Source organism: Homo sapiens, chromosome 4 (assembly GCF_000001405.40).
Source record: "Homo sapiens chromosome 4, GRCh38.p14 Primary Assembly".
Classification (NCBI taxonomy): Eukaryota; Metazoa; Chordata; class Mammalia; order Primates; family Hominidae; genus Homo; species Homo sapiens.
In genome coordinates, this window is record NC_000004.12 from 22425181 (window position 1) to 22446488 (window position 21308).

General features: G+C 36.5%; 1 protein-coding gene across 6 annotated transcripts in view; it reads right to left on the reverse strand.

Moving 5' to 3' along the window:
* ADGRA3 (adhesion G protein-coupled receptor A3) overlaps positions 1 to 21308 on the reverse strand; it is a 128691-nt gene that overhangs the window by 37805 nt on the left and 69578 nt on the right. For 5 of the 6 annotated variants that reach the window (XR_007096381.1, NM_145290.4, XM_047449703.1 and 2 more), the window contains exons 6-10: positions 19793 to 19953; positions 17470 to 17683; positions 13076 to 13240; positions 11260 to 11461; positions 10131 to 10286 (exon numbers count right to left, since the gene is read on the reverse strand). Coding sequence is in view for 5 of the 6 variants with exons in the window: in NM_145290.4 (NP_660333.2) it covers positions 10131 to 10286; positions 11260 to 11461; positions 13076 to 13240; positions 17470 to 17683; positions 19793 to 19953 (898 nt within the window). In the remaining variant the exon portion in view is untranslated. Of the gene's footprint in view, positions 1 to 10130; positions 10287 to 11259; positions 11462 to 13075; positions 13241 to 17469; positions 17684 to 17899; positions 17956 to 19792; positions 19954 to 21308 lie in introns of those variants that run through there. The other variant, XM_011513811.3, reaches the window with a different exon arrangement.

The following is a 21308-nucleotide window of genomic DNA, read 5'->3' on the forward strand; positions in this document are numbered from 1 at the left end:
GTTGTATGATCTCACCCCCATCCCCTTGCACACGTGGTTTCCTATACCTAGAATGAACTGCATCTTCCCTTCCTCCCAACTCAATGAATGCTTTTAAGATCTAATACAATAAAATAAATGCACTCTTCCACTGTTTGTTTTACTTGTTTCATTTACTGGATTCTTTTTATTCGCTCACTTCGTAACTTACAGATGTAAACATCTGTCAGGAAATGCCACTGAAAAGTCAACCAACTATTGTTTACTATAACTCATACGTCTCACCTGAGAGAAATAAATTGAACCGTCTAGGGCTAATGAGACGTACTGGTGTCAAGAGGATTTTGTATTGAGCAAAACGTTTATAAGAGGGAGACATGCAGCAGAAGGAGCAACAAAAACATTCCAGAGGTAGGATCAGACAATTTGCAAGCTGGCTGGACCTCTAATCAAGTAGTAAGCATTAAAAGGCGTTAAGTCCCAGTGCAAAGCCAGAAAGCCGGGTCTGTCTTAAGAGATGTCTTTTGATCATCCCAGAAGATCTCCGCTGAGATTTCAATCCCGTTTTGTATCCAATACACTTCACACAACGTATAATTATGGGGGCTGAAGAGGGTTTGGAAGAAGTTCAGTCCATCCCACCCTGGTTCACTTTACAAAAAAGTCAGGCCTTTGGAAATCCACCAGATCCCAACCCTGGAACCACGGGGTGAAGCAACCACAGTAAATACATAGATGAGAACAGGACTTCAAATGCTGACCGTGAGTACCTAGCCTGAACACTTCACCTCTTGGTATCTCCACTTCCCTTCTTCGTAACTACAGATAATAATAGTCCTGTCTTTCTGAATGTTGTGGAGATTAAGTTCCAATAATAAATACAAGGTTCCTAAAACCGTGCCTGGCACATGGCAAGCACTCAAAAAATGTTGGCGCTTTTACTGTTTTAATCCCGAAATTGGCCTCTCTTTTAAGATGATAGACTCTAGAGGTAGTAGAAGGGTTGTATTTGTATGTCTGTGTTCACGTAAAAATAGGACCAATGCATCCAACTAAACTGCCACTTGACCCTCTGTAAAGTCCCACTCTCCCCAGCTTGATCCTATTAAAATAAGTTTTCTGACTTTTTACTGCCCTTACCATAATGTATCACAACTTTTTCCTTATTTTACCTCCAATGTAAACATCTTGAGGGTAGAGACAACAAAATGTCTTACGTTTATATCCTTATTCACTAGTACAAGAGCTGATGCAGAAGCCAACAGTTATCAATGTCCATGTATCCGATATGTATCAATATTCATTTTAAATGTTCATGATTACTGTTCACTGACTATTTATTGAGGGCCAATGTGAGCCAGACACTGGTGCAACAGCAGCAAAAGAAAGAAACAAGCTCTATCTTCAACCTTATAGTCTGGTGAAGAAAATGCAAAACAAGCATATAAATCCATTTTTAAAAAGTGATTTAGATTGTGATAACTGCTACAAGGGAAATATGCAGAGAAATATAGGATACAGAATAATGAAATTTAATCCAAACACCCTATTTTAATGAACTAACACATTCTCAAGGGGTACTTCCCCCCAAACCGAAGATATTAACAAGATCAAATGACAAATAATTAAGAAGAGCCTGTAATCAAGCTCTGCAGAATCCTCAGTTGGTTCATTTTTTTATGATTCATTGGAACATTAGCATCCTAGTTCATGTTCCTACTAACAGACAGATATGGGGGTGAATGTCATTCTACTAGAAGCCCTTACTTCTGGAGTTATAAAGAAGGGTATTGACTCTTGCTATGTCAGTTACTGAATCTGTCAATCAGCCGTTTATACAGATGCTAAACTAGTAAGTCCAAAGTCTTAATGGGAATTCACAGTAGTTGGAATAACTTAGTTAAGATTTTGTCTATTATTCTGACTTACTGTTATTTGAAGATTTTATGCAAAAATAAAAGAGGTAAAAGAGATAACATGGTGAAATATGCTTTATGGCTAACAAAAATATTAATAAAATTCCCACTGGATGCAAAACTTTAAAATACACAAAAATATTGATTTTATTGTAAGGCACCACTGAAATATAGGCAGTGCTTACAGATTAGCAAAGTTACAACTAAACTTATTGTTTAATACTTCTCTGAAGTTTTAAATGTAGGAATTTTATAGGGACCTGACATGAGATCTGATGGGCACGTCATCTTTCTTGAAAAATTCATCATTATTACATGATCAAAGAACTACTGCTATGCCCTGCTAGATAATGCCAGTAAAGAAATTAACTTGTGTTAATAATTATAAAAAAAAAAACAACAAATATCTCTAAGAAGGTACAGGACGAACAACAGTAATTGCTTTAGTTGAGAACAAGCTATTTTTCTCATTATTTCACTCCAAATGGCTAAGAATGGAGGAAAGGGATTTGTTGCCAAAATATTCCCTAGAGCAGATAATCAGAAAATGTTATATGCTTCTGTAGCTTGGTTACAGAAGTAGCTCTGAATATGTCACAGTGGCAAAAAGTGACACAAAAGGGGTAACAATGCATGAAAAATTACACTGGATTAAAAAAAGTATTCCTGAAATTTGACACACAAAGCTCATTTAAAAACTGCAACCAGTGTAAGGAGCATGCATCAGATTTCTCCTTGGCCTCATTCCCCGAAGGCCACTCCAGCCACAAAAGGGTCAGAAGGACTCCTCCACCTGTTCTTGCACCTGTCACACTAAAGTGGGAGGAACAACCGAAAGCATGAGCAAATGGACTTTATCGAAGATAAAATGGGGAAGAAACAAATGCACCACATTAATGGCAATGAAAGTGCTCAATGTCAAATGTTGTAAGAGACAGGATATTTCAAGTTCTTAATATACAAATGGCTTGGAAGTTTTATCAAAATTAGGTCAAAAACATCTGCTAATTTAATACATTTCTGATGTTATCATATTAATATACAAGATAATACGTAAACTAAACTTGATGATATTTAATGTATAGTCTTTAACACTGAAGACATAATATCTATGTGACTTGGAGTTAAATACTCCTAGGTTGAGATCTCAAGTCTGTCACAAGTTTAGATGTCCCTGAGCAAATCAGCCTCTGTGAGACTCAGTTTACTCATTTGTAAAATGGGACCAAGAACTCTACAAGTGCTCAGAACATCTCAGTCCATGGTAAAATAAGAAAAAAAAAAAGCAGAAGACAAATATCTTCACATACCCAGTAAAAATATAAATTAAGCAATTCATGGAGTTTTTGAGAAAGGCCAAGTGATCTAGGCCGTTCCATATTTACATTTTCAATCATCGAGTAGCAAAAGAATACTTTTGTTCATTCTAACAACCAGAAAAGCAAGAATTAACAGACACATGCATAGGTGGAGCAATGGTTTTGGAGATGACAAATAGAGGAACCTACATTATCATCATTGCAGCAGCTGATCCTATTAAGCTCAAGTAGTCTTCACGATGTTCTCCTAGTTCCAAATTTAGTACACTACTGAGATCATACCTATTTCAAGGTATGTTATTACACTGATTAATGATGGAACTGCTGCATTCTGAAAGTCAAGTTTTAAAAGTGTATTTGTCACTCTTAACTCACATCTGGCTTTACGTGCCACAGGATACCTCTGCAGACTTCTCAGCAGGTTGCTTAGGTAAGCATTTGCTATTCAACAAGAGTCTGACTGCAATCATCATCAGGGTTATGGCAAAGGTTAAAGCTCTGATTTTACTGAGGTATAGGAGTAAAGAGAATGATGAGGATGAGGGTAACAGTGGAGGAACTGAAGAAATGGGTGGAAGGGGAAAAGAGGTCAAGAAGATTATTGCACATAAGGCATGGCAGGAGTTCTCAGATCATGTAATAATCATAATTCTTCAGGAGAGATGATGTGTCTACCATCAGGTCTCATGCTTGATCCTCATAAAGTCCACACATTCAAAACTTTAAAAAAAACTGAACAATAAATTTAGTTGTAATTGTGCTAATCTGTAAATATTAAATATATTAAAAGATAAAACATGCCAAAATACTGATTCTACCCTAAGGTGTTACTGAAATAAATGAGATTACAAACACGTACGTGCACTTCCTTTTCTAGAAGTACAGAGGACTGAGTACTCTGGAGAACTCTCCAGCAGAAAGTGAAAAAATGCTGAAAGGAAAACAGTTATCTTTGTTAATGCATCACTGAGAAGTAGGAAAATAGATCCTCCTCCAAAACCCAGTCACCAAAGAACAGCAGAAATCCAAAGAGCTCTGAGGTTGAACTCTGATGACCACGAGGTATGTTTTGACTTCCACACAGGGCCTAGGCCATGCCAACACAGGGTACCAGGAAAAGACCCCCTGTTACAAAGCTAGAAACTCAAAGGACACCACCTCCAGCATCAGGCCTAGCCAGCAATCACTCAGCTTCATGGAAGGAGAGCCAGGAAACGTGCCTGTTTTGACCTGGGCAAGAGGTAGAAGGAGGTTAAAAAAAAAAAATTATTCTCTGACAATTTGGAAACACAAGTTGACCTTCAAACAGGTCCTTTATACTACTTTCGTGTTCTTAAAAACCTCAAGCTAAAAATTAATTTTAAAATGAGTCCCCCTACACTGGCACTCGGCAGAAGCAAGCAAATATCACAGTTAAGGATACATTAGACCTTTCTCATTAATGCTCCCAACCAACCAACACTTATTGATATGGTTTGGCTGTGTCCCCACCAAAATCTCATCTTGAATTGTAACTCCCACAATTCCCAAGTGTTGTGAGAGGGACCCAGTGGGAGATAATTGAATCATGGGGGCAGGTCTTTGTCATGCTGTTTTTGTGATAGTAAGTCTCACGATATCTGATGGTATTATAAAGAGAAGCTTCCCTGCACAAGTGCTCTCTCTTTGCCTGCCACCATCCATGTAAGGCATGACTTGCTCCTCCATGACCTCTGCCATGATTGTGAGGCCTCTCCAGCCATGTGGAACTTTAAGTCCATTAAACCACTTTTTCTTCCCAGTCTCAGGTATGTCTTTATTAGTAGCATGAAAATGGACTAATACAGTAAATTGGTACCAATAGAGTGAGGCGATGCTGAAAAGATACCCAAAAATGTGGAAGCAACTTTGGAACTGGGTAACAAATAGGCGTTGGAACAGTCTGAGGGCTCAGAAGAAGACAGGAAAATGTGGGAAACTTTGGAACTTCCTAGAGGCTTGTAGGTCCAGGCTGAGGTGGTCTGGGATGGAGATGAGGAACTTGGGAACTAGAGCAAAGGTGACTCTTGTTTCATCTTAGCAAAGAGACTGGCAGCATTCTGCCCCTGCTCTAGAGATTTGTGGAAATTTGAACTTGAGAGAGATGATTTAGGGTATCTGACAGAAGAAATTTCTAAGCAGCAAAGCATTCAAGAGGTGACTTGAGTGCCGTAAAGGGCATTCCATTTTATAAGAAAAGCAGAGCACAGAAGTTTGGAAAATTTGCACCTTGACAATGTGATAGAAAAAAAAAAATCCCATTTTCTGTGGAGAAATTCCAGCGGGCTGCAGAAATTTGCATAAGTAACAAGGAGCTGAATGTTAATCCCAAAGACAATGGTGAAATGTCTCCAGGGCATGTCAGAGGTCTTCACCGCAGCCCCTCCCATCACAGGCCTGTGATGGTTTCATAGGCTGGGCCCAGGGTCCATGTGCTGTGTGCAGTCTAGGGACTTGGTGTCTAGCAGCTGTATCCCAGCTGCTCCAGCCATGACTAAAAGGGGCCAAGGTACAGCTTGGGCTGCTGCTTCACAGGGGGCAACCCCCAAGCCTTGGCAGCTTCCACGTGGTGTTGAGATTGTGGGTGCACAGAAGTCAAGAACTGAGGTTTGGAAACCTCTGCCTAGATTTCAGAGGATGTATGGAAATTCCTGAATCGTCAGGCAGAAGTTTGCTGCAGGGGTAGGGCTCTCATGGAGAACCTCAGCTAGGGGAGTGCAGAAGGGAAATGTGGGGTCAGAGCGCCCACACAGAGTCCCTACTGGGGCACCAACTAGTGGAGCTGTGAGAAAAAGGCCACCGTCCTCCAGACCCCAGAATGATAGATCCACCAACAGCTTGCACTGTGTGCCTGGAAAAGCCTTGTACTAATTCTTATATATATATTATATATAACAATATTGTACAAGGGTACAATAAAGCCACAGACACTCAATGCCAGCCTGTGAAAGCACCTGGGAGGGAGCTGTACCCTGCAAAGCCACAAGGGCAGAGCTGCCCAAGACCATGGGAACCCACCTCTTGCATCAGTGTGACCTGGATGTGAGACATGGAGTCAAAGGAGATCATTTTGGAGCTTTAAGATTTGACTGCTCCGCTGTTGTGTGAATAAGTCTCACAAAATCTGATGGTTTTATAAGGGGTTTTATAAGAGGTTTCCCTTTTCACTTGGCTCTCATTCTCTCTTTGCCTGCTGCCATGTAAGACATGACTTTGCTCCTCCTTTGCCTTCTGCCATGATTGTGAGGCCTCCCCAGATGTGCTGAACTGTGAGTCAATTAAACCTCTTTCCTTTATAAATTACCCACTCTCGGGTATGTCATTTTTAGCAGAGTGAAAACTAACACAATGGGTAAATAATTGTCTTGTTTTTATTAATCTTTCTTAAATATGTGTATGGCTCATACTTATTTCAATGTTTAATATTAGAAATGTTTGGGGTCTTTATTTGGAAGTTTGGTGACATTTTTGTGACCAGAAATGATCTCTAGGGATTTTATAAGTTTTACTTACATCAATTAGCATATGGTCAATTTGGTTTCATTACATATCATTTCAGTTAAAGTTGCAGTTTCCAAGAACCTATAGATGACCTTAAGTGAGGGCTTGCTGTATTGAAAACTGTTGAAGCCAAGCAGAGGTACAGCATAGGTATTAATGATAATATTCTCCTATCCTTTTGAATTTTCCAAGAAAAAGTTCTTAAAAAGTTAAAACCCCCCACCTAAAAAAAAATTAAAGCAACAATAGAAAATGGAGCTGTTACAGGGGTTCTCAAAGCCAGTATCAAAGTCATGCTGCCTGAAACATCACCTGAAACTGACTAGAAATTCAAATTCTCTGAACCCATTTCAGACCTGCTGAAATGGCAACTGGGAATGGCAGGGAGGGGGAACTCAGGCAGCAATCACTGCGTATAACAAATCCAGCAAGTGATTCTGATGTGTGGTGAAGTTCTACGAACAAAGTCCTAGAAAAGCTTAATAATACAGAAAAGTCTGGCAAGTAAGATCAAGAAAAAAAAGAATACAAAATAATCATAATTGTCAATACAGAAGCGATGACACTTTAAAATCAATGAAAAAGCCATATATTTGTAAAAATCTATATATAAACTAGTGTAAGGCGCATATCGCACTCACATATTTTAAAATAAGAGACAATAAGGGTGCCAGAAAGCATCATCAGATCTAATCTTTATATTTAACTTTCCCATCTTATAAAATATGCATATTGTTTTCATAAGAAAAATCACTTTAGTAAATACATAACAGACACTTCTGTTGCCTGACAAGACAACCTTTAACTGTTTTTAAAAGGATCCACTAAATATATCACTTAGATCTGGCAGTTTGAGAGCTTTTAATGCCTATCCTGAGACAACAAAGTGCCAGCTTGTGTTGGCCAGGCTCAATCACAGATTAAAAAGCAATTCCCCCACAATACTTTTGTTATGAAATCACTCATAAAAGAATAACTTTCAGACATAATACAAAAATCAATTTAATTAATTATTTCTCTATCTAAGCTAGGTGCATTTTAGGATAACTTGGCATAATTTTATGCTGTGGTAATTAACTTAAAATGAAGCCCTCAAGCCTCCTAGTTTTTTTCACTACACTAATAAATGGTGAAAGCTATGGCCTGTGGTTCAAATTGCCAAAGAACTGTATGTCAGTCACTGCATCACACGCAATATTATCACATTTATATCTCAATTATTCAATCCTGAATATTTTCCTGTTTCTCGTGCTGACAGTTAGTAAGTTGCCATCACTTGCTTCCGAAGATAACATAACTTTTCCGTCCTATGTTAACCAGTAAAAGTGACAGCAATCTTCTTCACACTAAATTTTTACAGAACTAACTGATGCACTCATGATTATTTAAAAGGACTTCCTTCTTAGCTTCTGAGGTCATAAAAATGTTATATTTCATAACCTAATAAAATGATATCCAAGCTTTGCAACTATTTTGCAAAACTGTTCGCCTGTATTTGTGCACATACACTTTTCAAATTATACAGAGAAAATAGCATCCCCATTTGAAAAATGAAGAATAAGCCCATGGTTAATTAATAACTAATGAAACCATGTCTACTTCCAGTTCAGTACAATGCTTCCACCTAAGAACCCGTCAACGCAGCCGACCACTCTTCCACAGGCTGGCAAACAGTTCAACATACACCTCTGGACACCACGTTGCTCAAGTTGGGAGGTGAGCAAAACAGGTTCACATCATAAACATGTATTCTTCGATGGCGAATGTTCTTCCATGTCCACATTCCAAATGTCATTACAATTATTCTAGTAACTAGAAACATCCCACTCCCGGAAATGACTGCTAATCCTGTGGGCACCAACCCTGTCATCTTAAGCAACAATGGAGCACAATATAATCACAGAGCCAGAACCCAAACGGCCTCTCCCAGTGCAAGGAAAATTCACTGCAGGAAAGTGGGCTGTGCCCTGGAGACACAATCAAGTATCAGGAGCAGTTATTAGAAAAAATCATGGCCCCTGAAGTTCAGAAAACAAATGAAATGTTATCCCGCTGACAAGTGAGGTGGCCTATTTGCCTAAGTCCCGTTTATATACATGTATCTATTTTCCTTCCTTTAATAACTACATCCTATCAAGTAAAGTGCCTAATGCACTAGGGCCACAGTTTCAAAAACTTATTACCACATTGCAAGTACTAATTCTTATATATATATTATATATAACAATATATCTATATTAGATACATAAATATGTAATATACATTAGATATATCTAAATATATATTATATAATATATTAGAATATATATGTGATATATAAGTGTGTGTATATATAATTGATATATAAAAATATATTAGAATGATTCAGGAAAATAAGGCTTATTATTTACATTTTAGCAATATTAATGGATCTGAGAAGTTCTACATAAAGAAATACGCAGGTTTTGTTTAGCCCAGTGTTTTCCTCACAGTTGTGTACAGAGCACTTTTAGAGTTCCAAGTCAGGGCCACATTGTATGGGAAGGTGAATGTGATGCTACAGAAAACTCTTATGGATGAGTCAGGGATCTTGGGTTCTCTTTCCAGGCGTGCCCTAACCTAAGCGTGGGCTTCAGTTTACAACTTGCTTGAGGTTCCCTCTACCTCTATAATTAATTTCTTTATAAGTGATTATATCACAAAAGAAATTGTACATATAAAGTTCTCACGAAGCTTTAAACGTAAAGTTTAAGAACACAATAATTCTGCCCCTTGAAAATTATTCAAAACATTAATTTGCTGCTCATTCATTCTGTAAACTGTGCTTGTCAATTTTTTTCCCCTAAAAGATATCATGTGGACAAGCATATCATGGTTTCAATGTGGTCCCGTTAAGTTAAAATACGCCACTTTTAGAATTCACTGCATTTTTTAAAACTTGTATAGTCCAATCATTTTGAATTTCAAAAAAGTGCCTAAACAGCCTCTCATTTCTCTAGGACATTACAAGGACAATTAAAAGGAATTTACTACAAGATCTGGGTGACTAAAACTCCCGTTACAAAAGATGAGCACGAGGATATGTGGAGAAGAGAAATCCAGCAGGCTGAGCTAAGCAGCTCTGCCTAAGCCACAACGTGGAGGCAGAACACTGCTTTTACTGCTTTCTCACCAGCGACCTCTGCTGTATCTCTGGACCTTAACGTCCAAGAACTGAGAGTTCACCTCTCCCGGTCCCAGCAGCAAACAGGTCATAAGAGAAGAGGCAGAAGTATCTCAATAAAATTCTGGAAATTTAAAAGCATGCTTTTAGCTCAAATATGATAAACATAAACAGGCCTTAAAATACATAGATTGAACTCTGTCACACTACCATTTGTTGACACTGTATGCTACAAATCTGAATTTAGAGAAGTACCTCTTTTGATTTTTCCTCCTTGGTAAATCTTCCAAATTTTTCAATCATTTCTGCCACAAATATAACATCCATTTTGTCAGAAAAGTTGGCTGCTTCCACAGTGTAAGCCAGTAACTGTCGAGCTGTTGCCACGGCATTGGTAAGATTGAGGGGCATCTACATTTCAAAGGCAAAAATGATCAACAAAACAGTCATTAGCAAAATGATCAACACAATCCTGACATTTTAACTTTGCATTTCAAAACAGCAACGAATTAAAAACTTTATTATTTACTCATCATGGCCTTCTTAAAATGCTTTACAAACCCAAGAAAACTGGAATTTTAATGGAAACTCACTGGAGGGAAATTTTTTCAAGCTTGGAGTGAAATACAATAATACATAAAAATACATGAGGTTAACATGTTGCACCATCTATCTCTTCTCTGCCTATCCAAATTCTACACATACCTCAACTCCAATTGCTTAATAAAGCCTTTCCTGAGTATTCCTGCTGGGAATGATCAATACCTCCCTTGGAGCTCCTACTGCACAAGAGTACGAACTACTTATTTGGCACTTATCTTTATTGCCATGCACTGCCAGTAATGTTTTACATGTGTTTATCTACTGACTCTAACACGGACTTAGCACCTAACATTGCAAAAGGATTTTTACCAGGTGCTAAGGGGCAAAAGAAAATACATTACACAAAAGCCATCTTCCACTTGCTTATAGTCTGGTAAGTTTTAAAAAGATGCATAGAAGCAAAGATAACAAAAAGCACATGAGTAGTTCAAGTATTCTAAGCAATCGCTTTCAACAAAGTGATTATAAAATGAATCCAAGAGGTGGCTTTCAATGTGAACTCGAAGGATGGTTAGGATTCTGTCTGGTGGATACAGATTAAAAAAAAGATATTCAAACAAAGGCACAAAGGGAGATGGTGACTGCAAAGGAAGGATTCTATAGAGGGCCTTGACTAGTGATTAAGATGGACCTGATCCTGAAGACAGTTAAGTCAACTAAAGTAAAAACACAAAATCCTTATGTTTTGCCTAGTATTAAAAAAAAAAAAAAAACTTATGTATTTGGTTTGAATACCATGTTTTCTCCACAACCCAAGTAAACATGAAGACTTTCTAGTTACCTGATTAAACATATAAAGAACTCTAGTGACATCATTTGCATACTGACAGCGAGAATAATCATCATCTGCCCAAAAGCCACCTCTATCACATCTGCGCCAAGCTTTTCTCTCATCCTGTGGGTTTCCGGGATATATCCCACTGCCATGGGTGTTCCGCGTACACTGCAGATATGCAGTAATGCCTGCCAATGTTCTGGGCCATCTAGAGATGAAGACAAAATAGTACAAGAAAATCTAAATGACACGGGTACATCAAGAATAACAACAGCAGAGAAAAAAATCAAAGATGAAGATGTGTCATGTCAATACAACCCTGACACGGGTCATCAAAACTGGGCTGGGAGAAACCTTTGTTATTTGAACTCTATGTCTCCAAAACTGAGAATGAAATTCAACATGTTTAATACAAGTTACCATGGATGCTCATCACAGGAACCACTAAATGACAGTATCAGTCACACCAAAACAGAATTCATTACAAAAACCACATAAATAGATCAAGCAACACTAAACTAAATCTTATTAATGCAGTGGGAATTTAATTGCATAATATCTTAAGGAGTGTCAAAGACAAATAATTCATTGATCTATAAACATTTAATTGCTCTATTTTTAAAAATGTAAAGCACTCAAAACTATGAGAATATAGAAAATCTACCATAAATAGTAAATATCATATTAGGATTATTTGATAAAAGATGTTGAATGTAACAAAATTACCAAATATCATATATTTCACTTAAAAGCATGTACTATAAATATTATAGATCAATACCTAATCTACATAAAAGACTTATCCATTGGCAATAATAAATGTTGATTTCCATATATTGATGTCAAGAATAACTTTTTTAAAAAGAGCAATGGCAAACTAGCTGAGATAAAGATGTTATTATTGCTTCTTTACTTTGGATTTAAAAGATTAACACCAAAGGGTTTTCCCACCCTTGAAACACTGAGGTTAGAGACAGGAGGTAACAACTGAACCCATTAGAGACAATGCAAACTGGGTAATAAACAATCTTTATGCTGCTTCAAAGAATAACATATTTCCCTTTGTTCATATCAACTATAAACTCATTTTTTAAATCCCTGAACATAAATAAGATCAAGTAAATAAGATATTTAAAGATGTCTTAAAGCACCTTTGAAAGTAAAGAGAGTTTAAGGTAAAAGCTGTCATCTCTTGCAAATCCTAAACTTTCTACTAAAATAAAAAAATAAATAAATAACTCCCTTTGCTTAGATTAACAAACCCCACCTGGGATTCCATGGCTCCCCAAGTTTCAGGCTACCCAACAGCTTTCATTTCCCAAAGTCCTTCTTGCTTGATTTCCAGAAGAACTGAACAAGGGGAGAAAATTAGATAGGTGTTTCTTCTAATTCTGATGCCTACTGAACTGCCAGTAGTGAAAAGTACCTTAGCAATATAAAACCTTCCAAGGTTCATCTATAAAAGAGCCACTGGGGGGAAAAAAAACAGAAAATACCTTACTTAACCTGTTTGAATTTTGTACTCTTTTACCAGAATATCTCCAATGTTTCCCTAAGGCAATGGCTCTTACACAACAAAACCATTTGTTAAAAATGACTCTACTTTCAGAGATTCTTCAATCAACAGGTCTGAGATAAAGTTCAAGCACCCCTTTTGTTCATCTCCATATGTGATTCTGAAATCATTATTCTAAAGGGTAGTCCTCAGACATGTGCAGTTCTCAAATTTTGTTACTCAGGACAGGAAACCAATAATGTGTCTTAGACAACAGAAGGATCTGGGACAAATTAAACTTTTCCCCGTATTTTCCACAACACTGACCTGAAGTCACCTTTGTTGTTTACCACCCTCTCTGGAGGACAGTACTGTGCAGAACTCTCTAATACCACAATATCCACAGTCCTCGTATTATTCCCACGTTTGGTCTGGACATGACAGCCCCAATTTCCAGTAGATCCAGCCTGAATATTAGAAATGGTTAGGGCACTGCATAAAGAAAGATTTTAAAAAGAGAGAAAATATAATTAGGCAAAAAAGGAGACAATAATGGGTCTCAATCATTAATTTAGCAAATATTTTTGAATGCATATTGTGGGGTAAGCACTTGCTATATAAAAATGAATTTAAAAAATGATTCCTTCCTTTAAATCCTTCAATCTCAAGGCAAAAAAGGAAAGAGATCTTTAAAATACACAATCAGGGCAATAAGAGACATATGAATCAAATGCAATGCTATACGACGCATGAGAATTCTCCTTGCAGAAATAGGGAGAGCAGAACACTTTACAGAACAGGAATGGCAAGTAATCCCAGCACTCTGGGAGACAGAGGCGGGTGGCAGGAGTTCAAGACCAGCCCAGCCTTCAAGATCAGCCTGGCGAAACCCTGTCTACACTAAAAATATTTTTAAAAGTTAGCCGGGTGTTGTGGCAGACACTTGTAATCCCAGCTGCTTGGGAGGCTGAGTGAGGCTGGAGGATGGCTTGAACCCAGGAGGCGGAGGTTGCAGTGAGCCAAGAGAGCACCACTGCACTCCAGCCTGGGTGACAGAGCAAGTCTCTGTTTCATACACACAAAAAAAGAACAGGAATGGCAAGCCCAAAGGCAGAAACATCGTCGTACATTCTTTAGCAAAACTTAGAGAAGTTTCCAAGTCACATCTCCCTTCTCACAGATTCTGAAGAAAATATTCAAACATGAAAAAAGAAGATTATTACGAATTTACATAATTAAGAAAATGTTTAAGGTAAAATATAAAGGGTTACACTAGAAACAAACCAGTTACCTCCCTAAAAAGATTTAGTAAATTACCAATTAATACTTTCACAAAAGGTTTCTGTGTTAAGGTATATTTCAATTCATAAAACAGCTGTGTTTCTAAATGGCTGTCAGTAAATCCAATTTCCAAGATGAAATCATAATTCTCTAATATAAAACCTATTAATTAAGGAGCAAATGTCAGAGCCTTCAATTAACCTTTATTTCCCCCACAGGACCCAGTATGCGTTGCTGTTATGTAGACACAAATGATAAGAAATAATTAGACAGAAAGTATGTATCATTTTAATTAACTTACAAAATTATGTCTTAAAGTAAATACACATTTGTCCGATCTCCTAAATCATTGACGGCTACAGCAAATGTTCTAATAAAGGCTCAAGACACTTTTATATTATGAATCATCAAAGAAAATGTTGTCTTTACTAAGTTAGAAAAATAAACATACTGTAATTAATATTTTTAAAATAGAGTGACACAAAAAAGAGTTTGACATTAAATTTAACTTTGTCCAACATTCTACTTTATAAGGCTTTACTGAACTAGGAAGAAGTATATTTCGTCAATGAAAATCATTCCTTAATCCAGAAGTTCCCAAACACTGTCTTACTTCACTGACATAGTAACTTTGTCATGGTGCCCCACCCCAGCTCAAAAAAATACCGATGGTGGTTTCTATTACTAAATTAAATCCCCCAAATGTCTATCTATATTCAAATACTTTAGTAGCCATTTGAAAAAAGTAACACACATAAATTTGAAATAAAATTTTTATTGTATTCTTAAATAACAACTACTTCTTAATGAGATATGTGTGCCTGCTAGACACTCTAAAATTAATCTAACCTCAGATTCGGATCAGACAATGATGCTCATTTCTTGTTCTACAATGACTTTTACACGTAGCACTTGCTTTGTACCACAGTAACTGTCCAAAGTCCAGCATCCCAAACACTATAATGGAGTGTTTCTAGTTTTCTTACTACTTTTTTCCCCTTCAATCTCCAAATCTGCAAATGTTTCCTGGATAACTTTTAGCAATACTTTTAATATCTAAAACCAATCACTGGAATAACATTTCCAGGAATCCTCAAGGCAGCAGATTTGGAGATTTAAAAAGAAAGAAGTAGCTTCAATTTCAACTCCTAAGAAAAATGCTGTTTCTTACTGATGAAGAATCAAAGACATGGGGAGATCAATGAAAAATCAATAGGAATCTCAGATTAACCAATGCAATAACCACATATTTCTTTCTTTTATTATTCTGGGGCAAAATCTAGGTAAAGAACTGTCTCAGGCTTCACATGAAAGATTTTCACTTTAGTCACATGTCCCTACCAAAAAAAATGTTAGGTTAACTTGTTATCCTTAGAATTAACTTTTTTTGCATTGCTAAACATAATTTAAATTTAAGCATGACTTGCAGAAATAGATTTATACAGTAAATCTACTTATTTTATAGTCAAATAATTTAGAGTTCTAAATTAATCAAAGCTCTTCTACATAGAAAATGGTTCTACTTTTAAAACTTTACTATTGAATTATACATCAATTATTGTCTGTTTATACAATAAACTGCTTAGTGTACAATGTGATGAATTCTGACATATGTATAGGCATGTGAAATTATCGCTACAGTAAAACTAGTGTAACAATGAATATATCATTTCGAACGATTAATCGTATCTCCTAATAAGGGAATTCTGCTTCTAGCAATCACTGAGTAGCTCATATTAAATCACCCTTCCCACAGCTAACAATTATATGCCCCTGACAAATTATAAAATGACAATCATTTGAACATATGAAGATTGATCAAAAGCAGGCAATAACTGAACAGGAGTTGATATGAGAAACAAGGGTTTTTGGCACTGGGAAGTAACTAGATTTTTTTTTAATGGCTTTTGCCCAAGGGTAGGCCTCACTCAAATAGAAACTCACAATCTTATTGGCTTAAAAAATCAGAAGACAGAGGTAGAAAGAAGTCAGGCTGGAAGCCCAAACTTCTATGTATAAAATGCACCAAGATCTCTTACTGATCCTGAACTACACTTGCAGGTAGAGAGCAGAAACCAAGACTTTAGCTTCTGCCTACCAGAGGGGACAGAGCTAGGAGTTAGTTCAGCCAAGCTAACTGCCTGACCAAACAAAAGTTAGCTCACTTTAGGAGAATATAACAGAATCCAGAGTCAGAGGTCGGCAGACTTTTTCTTCAATGGCCAGACAGTACATATTTTAGGCTTTGCTGGCTACGAAGCAATATTAAGAATATTATGCAGGGAATTATGTAACCATCTGAAATGTAACCATTTAAAAATATAAATAACATTCTTAGTTTATGGGCTCCGTGGGCCAGATTTGGTTCATAGACTGTACCTAGCCAGCTTCTCCTCCACAGCAAATCATTCATAACGTCCAGTCTATAATCCAAAACTGTCAGACCTATAAACAATACTTTTTTAAAAAGAAGAAAATATGAACCATATTTAAAAGAAAAGCAGCCAGTAGCAATAACCACAAGATTGCCCACATGTTGGAATTAGCAGGAAAGGATTTAAAGCATCTACTCTAAATGTTGGAAGATATAAATGAAAATATGCTTCTAGTAGACATGAAATCTCAAGAAAAATTATAAAATAGCCAACTGCATAAGTCTTGAATCTCAACTCAGAGAACCCCTGAGATTTGAATGTCAACTCAGAACCTTTAGTTTTTCAGTAATCTTTCATAGCACCCCTGTGAGTTTGCTGTGATGTTACCCTAGGAGGACCTGGCAGAGAGTCTGAAAACTGCAGCTCTACTGAAATAAAAATATAAGCCAAGTTCTAGGTAGGTGGAAAGAAAGAAGAAAGGGAGTGGAAAACTCAATGTCTAAAGGTAAAAATTTTACCAAAGTAAAATATCTGGTAAGTGATAATATCATATATATTCTTAGTCTATTATACTTTATAAAGTATTTTTACTTTTAATTATTTTGGTATTCACACCAATTATGAGGTTGATAGTTCAGATGTTATATTCTTTTATACTAGTAGGTGGAGAAGATAAGTACCTTAAAATATTGTATCAGTCAATATTTTGACTAGAGTCAATATCAGGTGATTACTAAAAGAGAAAATGTAAGCTTAGCAGCAGGAAATAGTTGGAAATTAGGTTTAGCACTAAAAGTTTACATTTTTCCTCCAAAAACTTTAAAAAAGTCTTCAATTTCTAAAGTTTCTTTGAAATTAAGTCTTTTCTTTAAAAACTGGATGAAAAGATGGCTATTTAATTTTAGAAGATGAATAAGAACCAGGAAAAGGAAATGCCAGATGTTTGCATTTTTAAATACAAGAAGATGAAATATTAATTCAAATTCCACTAAACATTACACCTCCAAAAGGATAAATAAAATACACAGGCACAATTCTTCATTCAAAAAAAAAAAAAAAGTTTACCTTGCAATCAAGGAGCAGTTGTGAATCATGTTCTTTTCAACAAAAATACCTTGCGATTCATCGGTTTCAACTATTCTCCCATCCTGATACCACAACACTTGCATGTCCTGATCAATATATGAAGCCATGCACTGGAAAGGAAGGCTGTCTCCTTCAAACACAACTTGGCGATGAGATGGAGTCATGTAGAAAGACGGCAATTCAAGCGGAGGGTCTAGAGACAATCAAACAAAGATTCAGTAAACAAATATAATTTCCAAACACCATAATTAAAAGTTACAGAAATTCTAGGTAAAATAATAAAAACAGAACAACAAATATTCCTCAATAATCAGCATGCTACTGCTAGTATCAACCAGGCTGCTACTGAGTTTAGTGATAACAGATTAAAACAAAATTAAAAAGAAACAATTTCATAACCAGTTCTGACATTTAGAGTTATTCCTCTTCAGTGGCATCCTAAGAGTATCAGATGATTACAGAAATGAACTAAAAGAACAAGCTGTGCTCTAGAAAATGGCATCAGTGATAAGTAAATGTTGATATTTACAACTTTAAAATACACTTTGGAGACTGCAATACCTTTGATTACAACACGAGTTTTTGGCTGTAAAACTAATGCATGTTCACTCCAGAAAAATCAGAACATTTAAAGAAAACAGAAAAAAACAGTATGTTAAGATCCCATATACCGTAAACAGTTTTTAATCAGTTTTTTCCTTTCAGTCAGAAAAATAAAATATTTTAAATATATGTACAAAAATGTACACAAATGACACTAGTTCATTAAAAGACTTCTAAATATGTAGTCCATTTTTCTAACATGACAATTCTACTTTTAGTAGTACTGTATCCTAAAGAATAATAGAAAATATGCAAAAATGCATACAAAGAAATTAGTCCTTCCATTATTTATGAAGCAAGAAATTATTAACGAGCTAAATATGCTGTAATAGAGAAGTTGTTAAACTATGGCTTCATCTATACAATGAATTGATATGCATCTATTTTAAATGAGAAAATACATTTACATTAATTCAACTTAAAAAAGGTTATAAAATATCATTAGAGTGTAACGATATTTTGGTTAAAAAATAGAAAAAAGTCGTAGAAGATGATACAAAAAGGTCTTAACACTAGCTATTTTCAGTCATGAACATAAACATGGTCTTTGTTTCTCTGCTTCTTTTATTTATTTGCACAAATCTTAATTTTCATTCAGTGAGCATATTTTACTTGTGATACAACAATAATAATAAAGAGAAAAGGAAAAAAATATGATAGCTTATTTCCAAACAAAGACTAAACTGGGACCTCCCCCCATCACTTTAGGACTGTTTTTGTTTTATGGGGTTGTGTGTGTAGGTGTGCTTTTTTGTTTTTTGTTTTTGTTTTTGTTTCTTTTTCATTTAACACGTGGCAAATATGTTATTTCCCTCCTTTCCCCAGATATTCTTCAAAATCATGATTTTCAATAGCTGCATTCACTGAATGGATATGTCACAAGTAATTAAACCAATCCCCTATTTTTGAGAATTTAGGATATGCTTATACACAGAGTCTGAAGATTTACATACAAAGCTGATCATTTCCTAAGAATTAACTATAAGATACAGAATTACTAGATCTAACTGTATCAGTTATTTTTTTTTTGAGATGGAGTTTCACTTTTGTCACCCAGGCTGTAGTGCAATGGCACGATCTCGGCTCACTGAAACCTCCACCTCCTGGGTTTAAGCAATTCTCCTGCCTCAGCCTCTCGAGTAGCTGAAATTACAGTCACCTGCCACCATGCTCAGCTAATTTTTGTATTTTTAGTAGAGACAGGGTTTCACCATGTTAGCCAGGCTAGTCTCAAACTCCTGACCTCAAGTGATCCACTGGGATTACAGGTGTGAGCCACCGCGCCCTGCCTGTATCAGTCTTTTAAGAACACTGAAACATGTTGCTTCAAAAAGGCTGTATCGTTCACATTCCCACCCACACACAGGATGTGGGCATCCTGAGATTGTGTTACTACAGACAAATTCACGAGTTGCCAACTGATGGAAAATCTGAAAATCTATTCTTTGAAATTGGTTTGCATAAAGAAAGCTGATGTGAACCTAAAAACAGCTACCTTAAAGACAACTGAAAAAAAAAAGGTCATTTAATCTAGCTGGCTTAATCGTTGGCATAAACTAAATATTATCAAATCCATAATGATTACTGGCTGCATACTAGTTCTGTCCAAGTATAAAGAGAATCTTACAATTTGTCAAGAAAAACATGGTAGCAAGTCAAAATATGGTAAATGCTTTCTCAGTTTGGATTTCTCCCTTACCGCATGTCAACAGCTCCTGCTTCACGCCTGTGACTGGTTGGGCCTGCAGTGACTTAGGATAAACACACCTGGTATCCCGTACCGTGATGTTCTTCTCCTTTACCCAGCGATGCATCCACAGTATGTTACAGTCACACAAAAGATACTCAGTCTGGAATTCCCTGTAACATGCAAATACAACTTAGAGATTATAGTGAATAAAATTAAATAGCACTTTTGTTTTATATTGGGTTACATTTCTGGTGGCAAGCACAATACTGTTCACCCATACCATGCCTAAAGTACATTTCATCAACTAGCTACAGTTTCTCTCCAAGGAGCTGAATTGCAGAGTGTTGGACCCCAACACTGTTCTTGCTGATCCCGGGTTTCTGCTTTGGATGAAATTTTGTAGGCAAACAAAGACTCTTTGGCAGATATCCCTCTTCTATGCAACAAGCCACTGAACACCAGAGTTCTGGAATACCAAATCCCATTCCTTTTTGTCTATCGAACTTCTACCCATTTATCATGCAGTGTGTGGCATTAATATTGAATCTTGAAGCCATCCCCAATTTTCCACCATCATTGCCACATTCTTGGCCTAAATGCCTACCAACTCTGCTGATTCTGGCAATCAAACAGCAACCTAAAGCAATACAGATTGTTTTATGGCTATATTCTGTATGTCTAACTAGACTGTGAACTTCCCTAGGGTAGGGACTGTTTCTGACCCCTCCTGCTATGTGCCAAGTGACACTATAGATATTTACAAATGTAAGAGATAAAGACCCAACAAATCAAAAGCATACAAATAAGAATACCTCAGCTTTGATATAAAAGATAGTAAAGAAATGTCTTTATATGAGGCAAAAAGCTTTATAATTTGGCACTTGGGTGCAAGAAGAAGAAAGGATAAACAAAGCTGAGATATAAGCACAAAATCTCTTAAATACTATAATTACTAAGCACTGACTATTCATGTGCCACACATTTGCTAAGTCCAGCTAATAACAATGAATGCAGGACCCTGTTCATGCCAACATGGAGGGCATCATATAATAGAAGAATCAAAATGTAAACATAACTAAAATAGAATGCAACATGTTCTATAAAAATAAATCAACAAAGTGCAATAATGTTTAAGTGTGTGTGCTTCTAACACAGCTAGAGTGTTGGCTCAGGGTTCACCTCAGTAGTTTTGGCAAAAAAGAATAAGGAAAAAAGAAAAAGGATCTGATGTAATACAGCACAGAAAATAAATTTAAATAATACCAGAAGGAGGACGTGACAGACTCCTAATTCCTAAGCACCACTTTATGGTCAGTTCCTAACACTACCAGGTAAAAACACTGGCAATTTCCCCCATTTGGGGGATGAAAATACTTCCCACGTTCCTGCTACCCAGGGTCTCAAAAGCCAGACTAGCTTTTGTCTTTTTTATTTCCTAATCTTTGCAGAAATGGTTGACCTGAGCCCACTAAATAAGCCAAAAGGAGATGTTTCTGCTCAAAGGTAGTCTTCTGGATAAGAATGG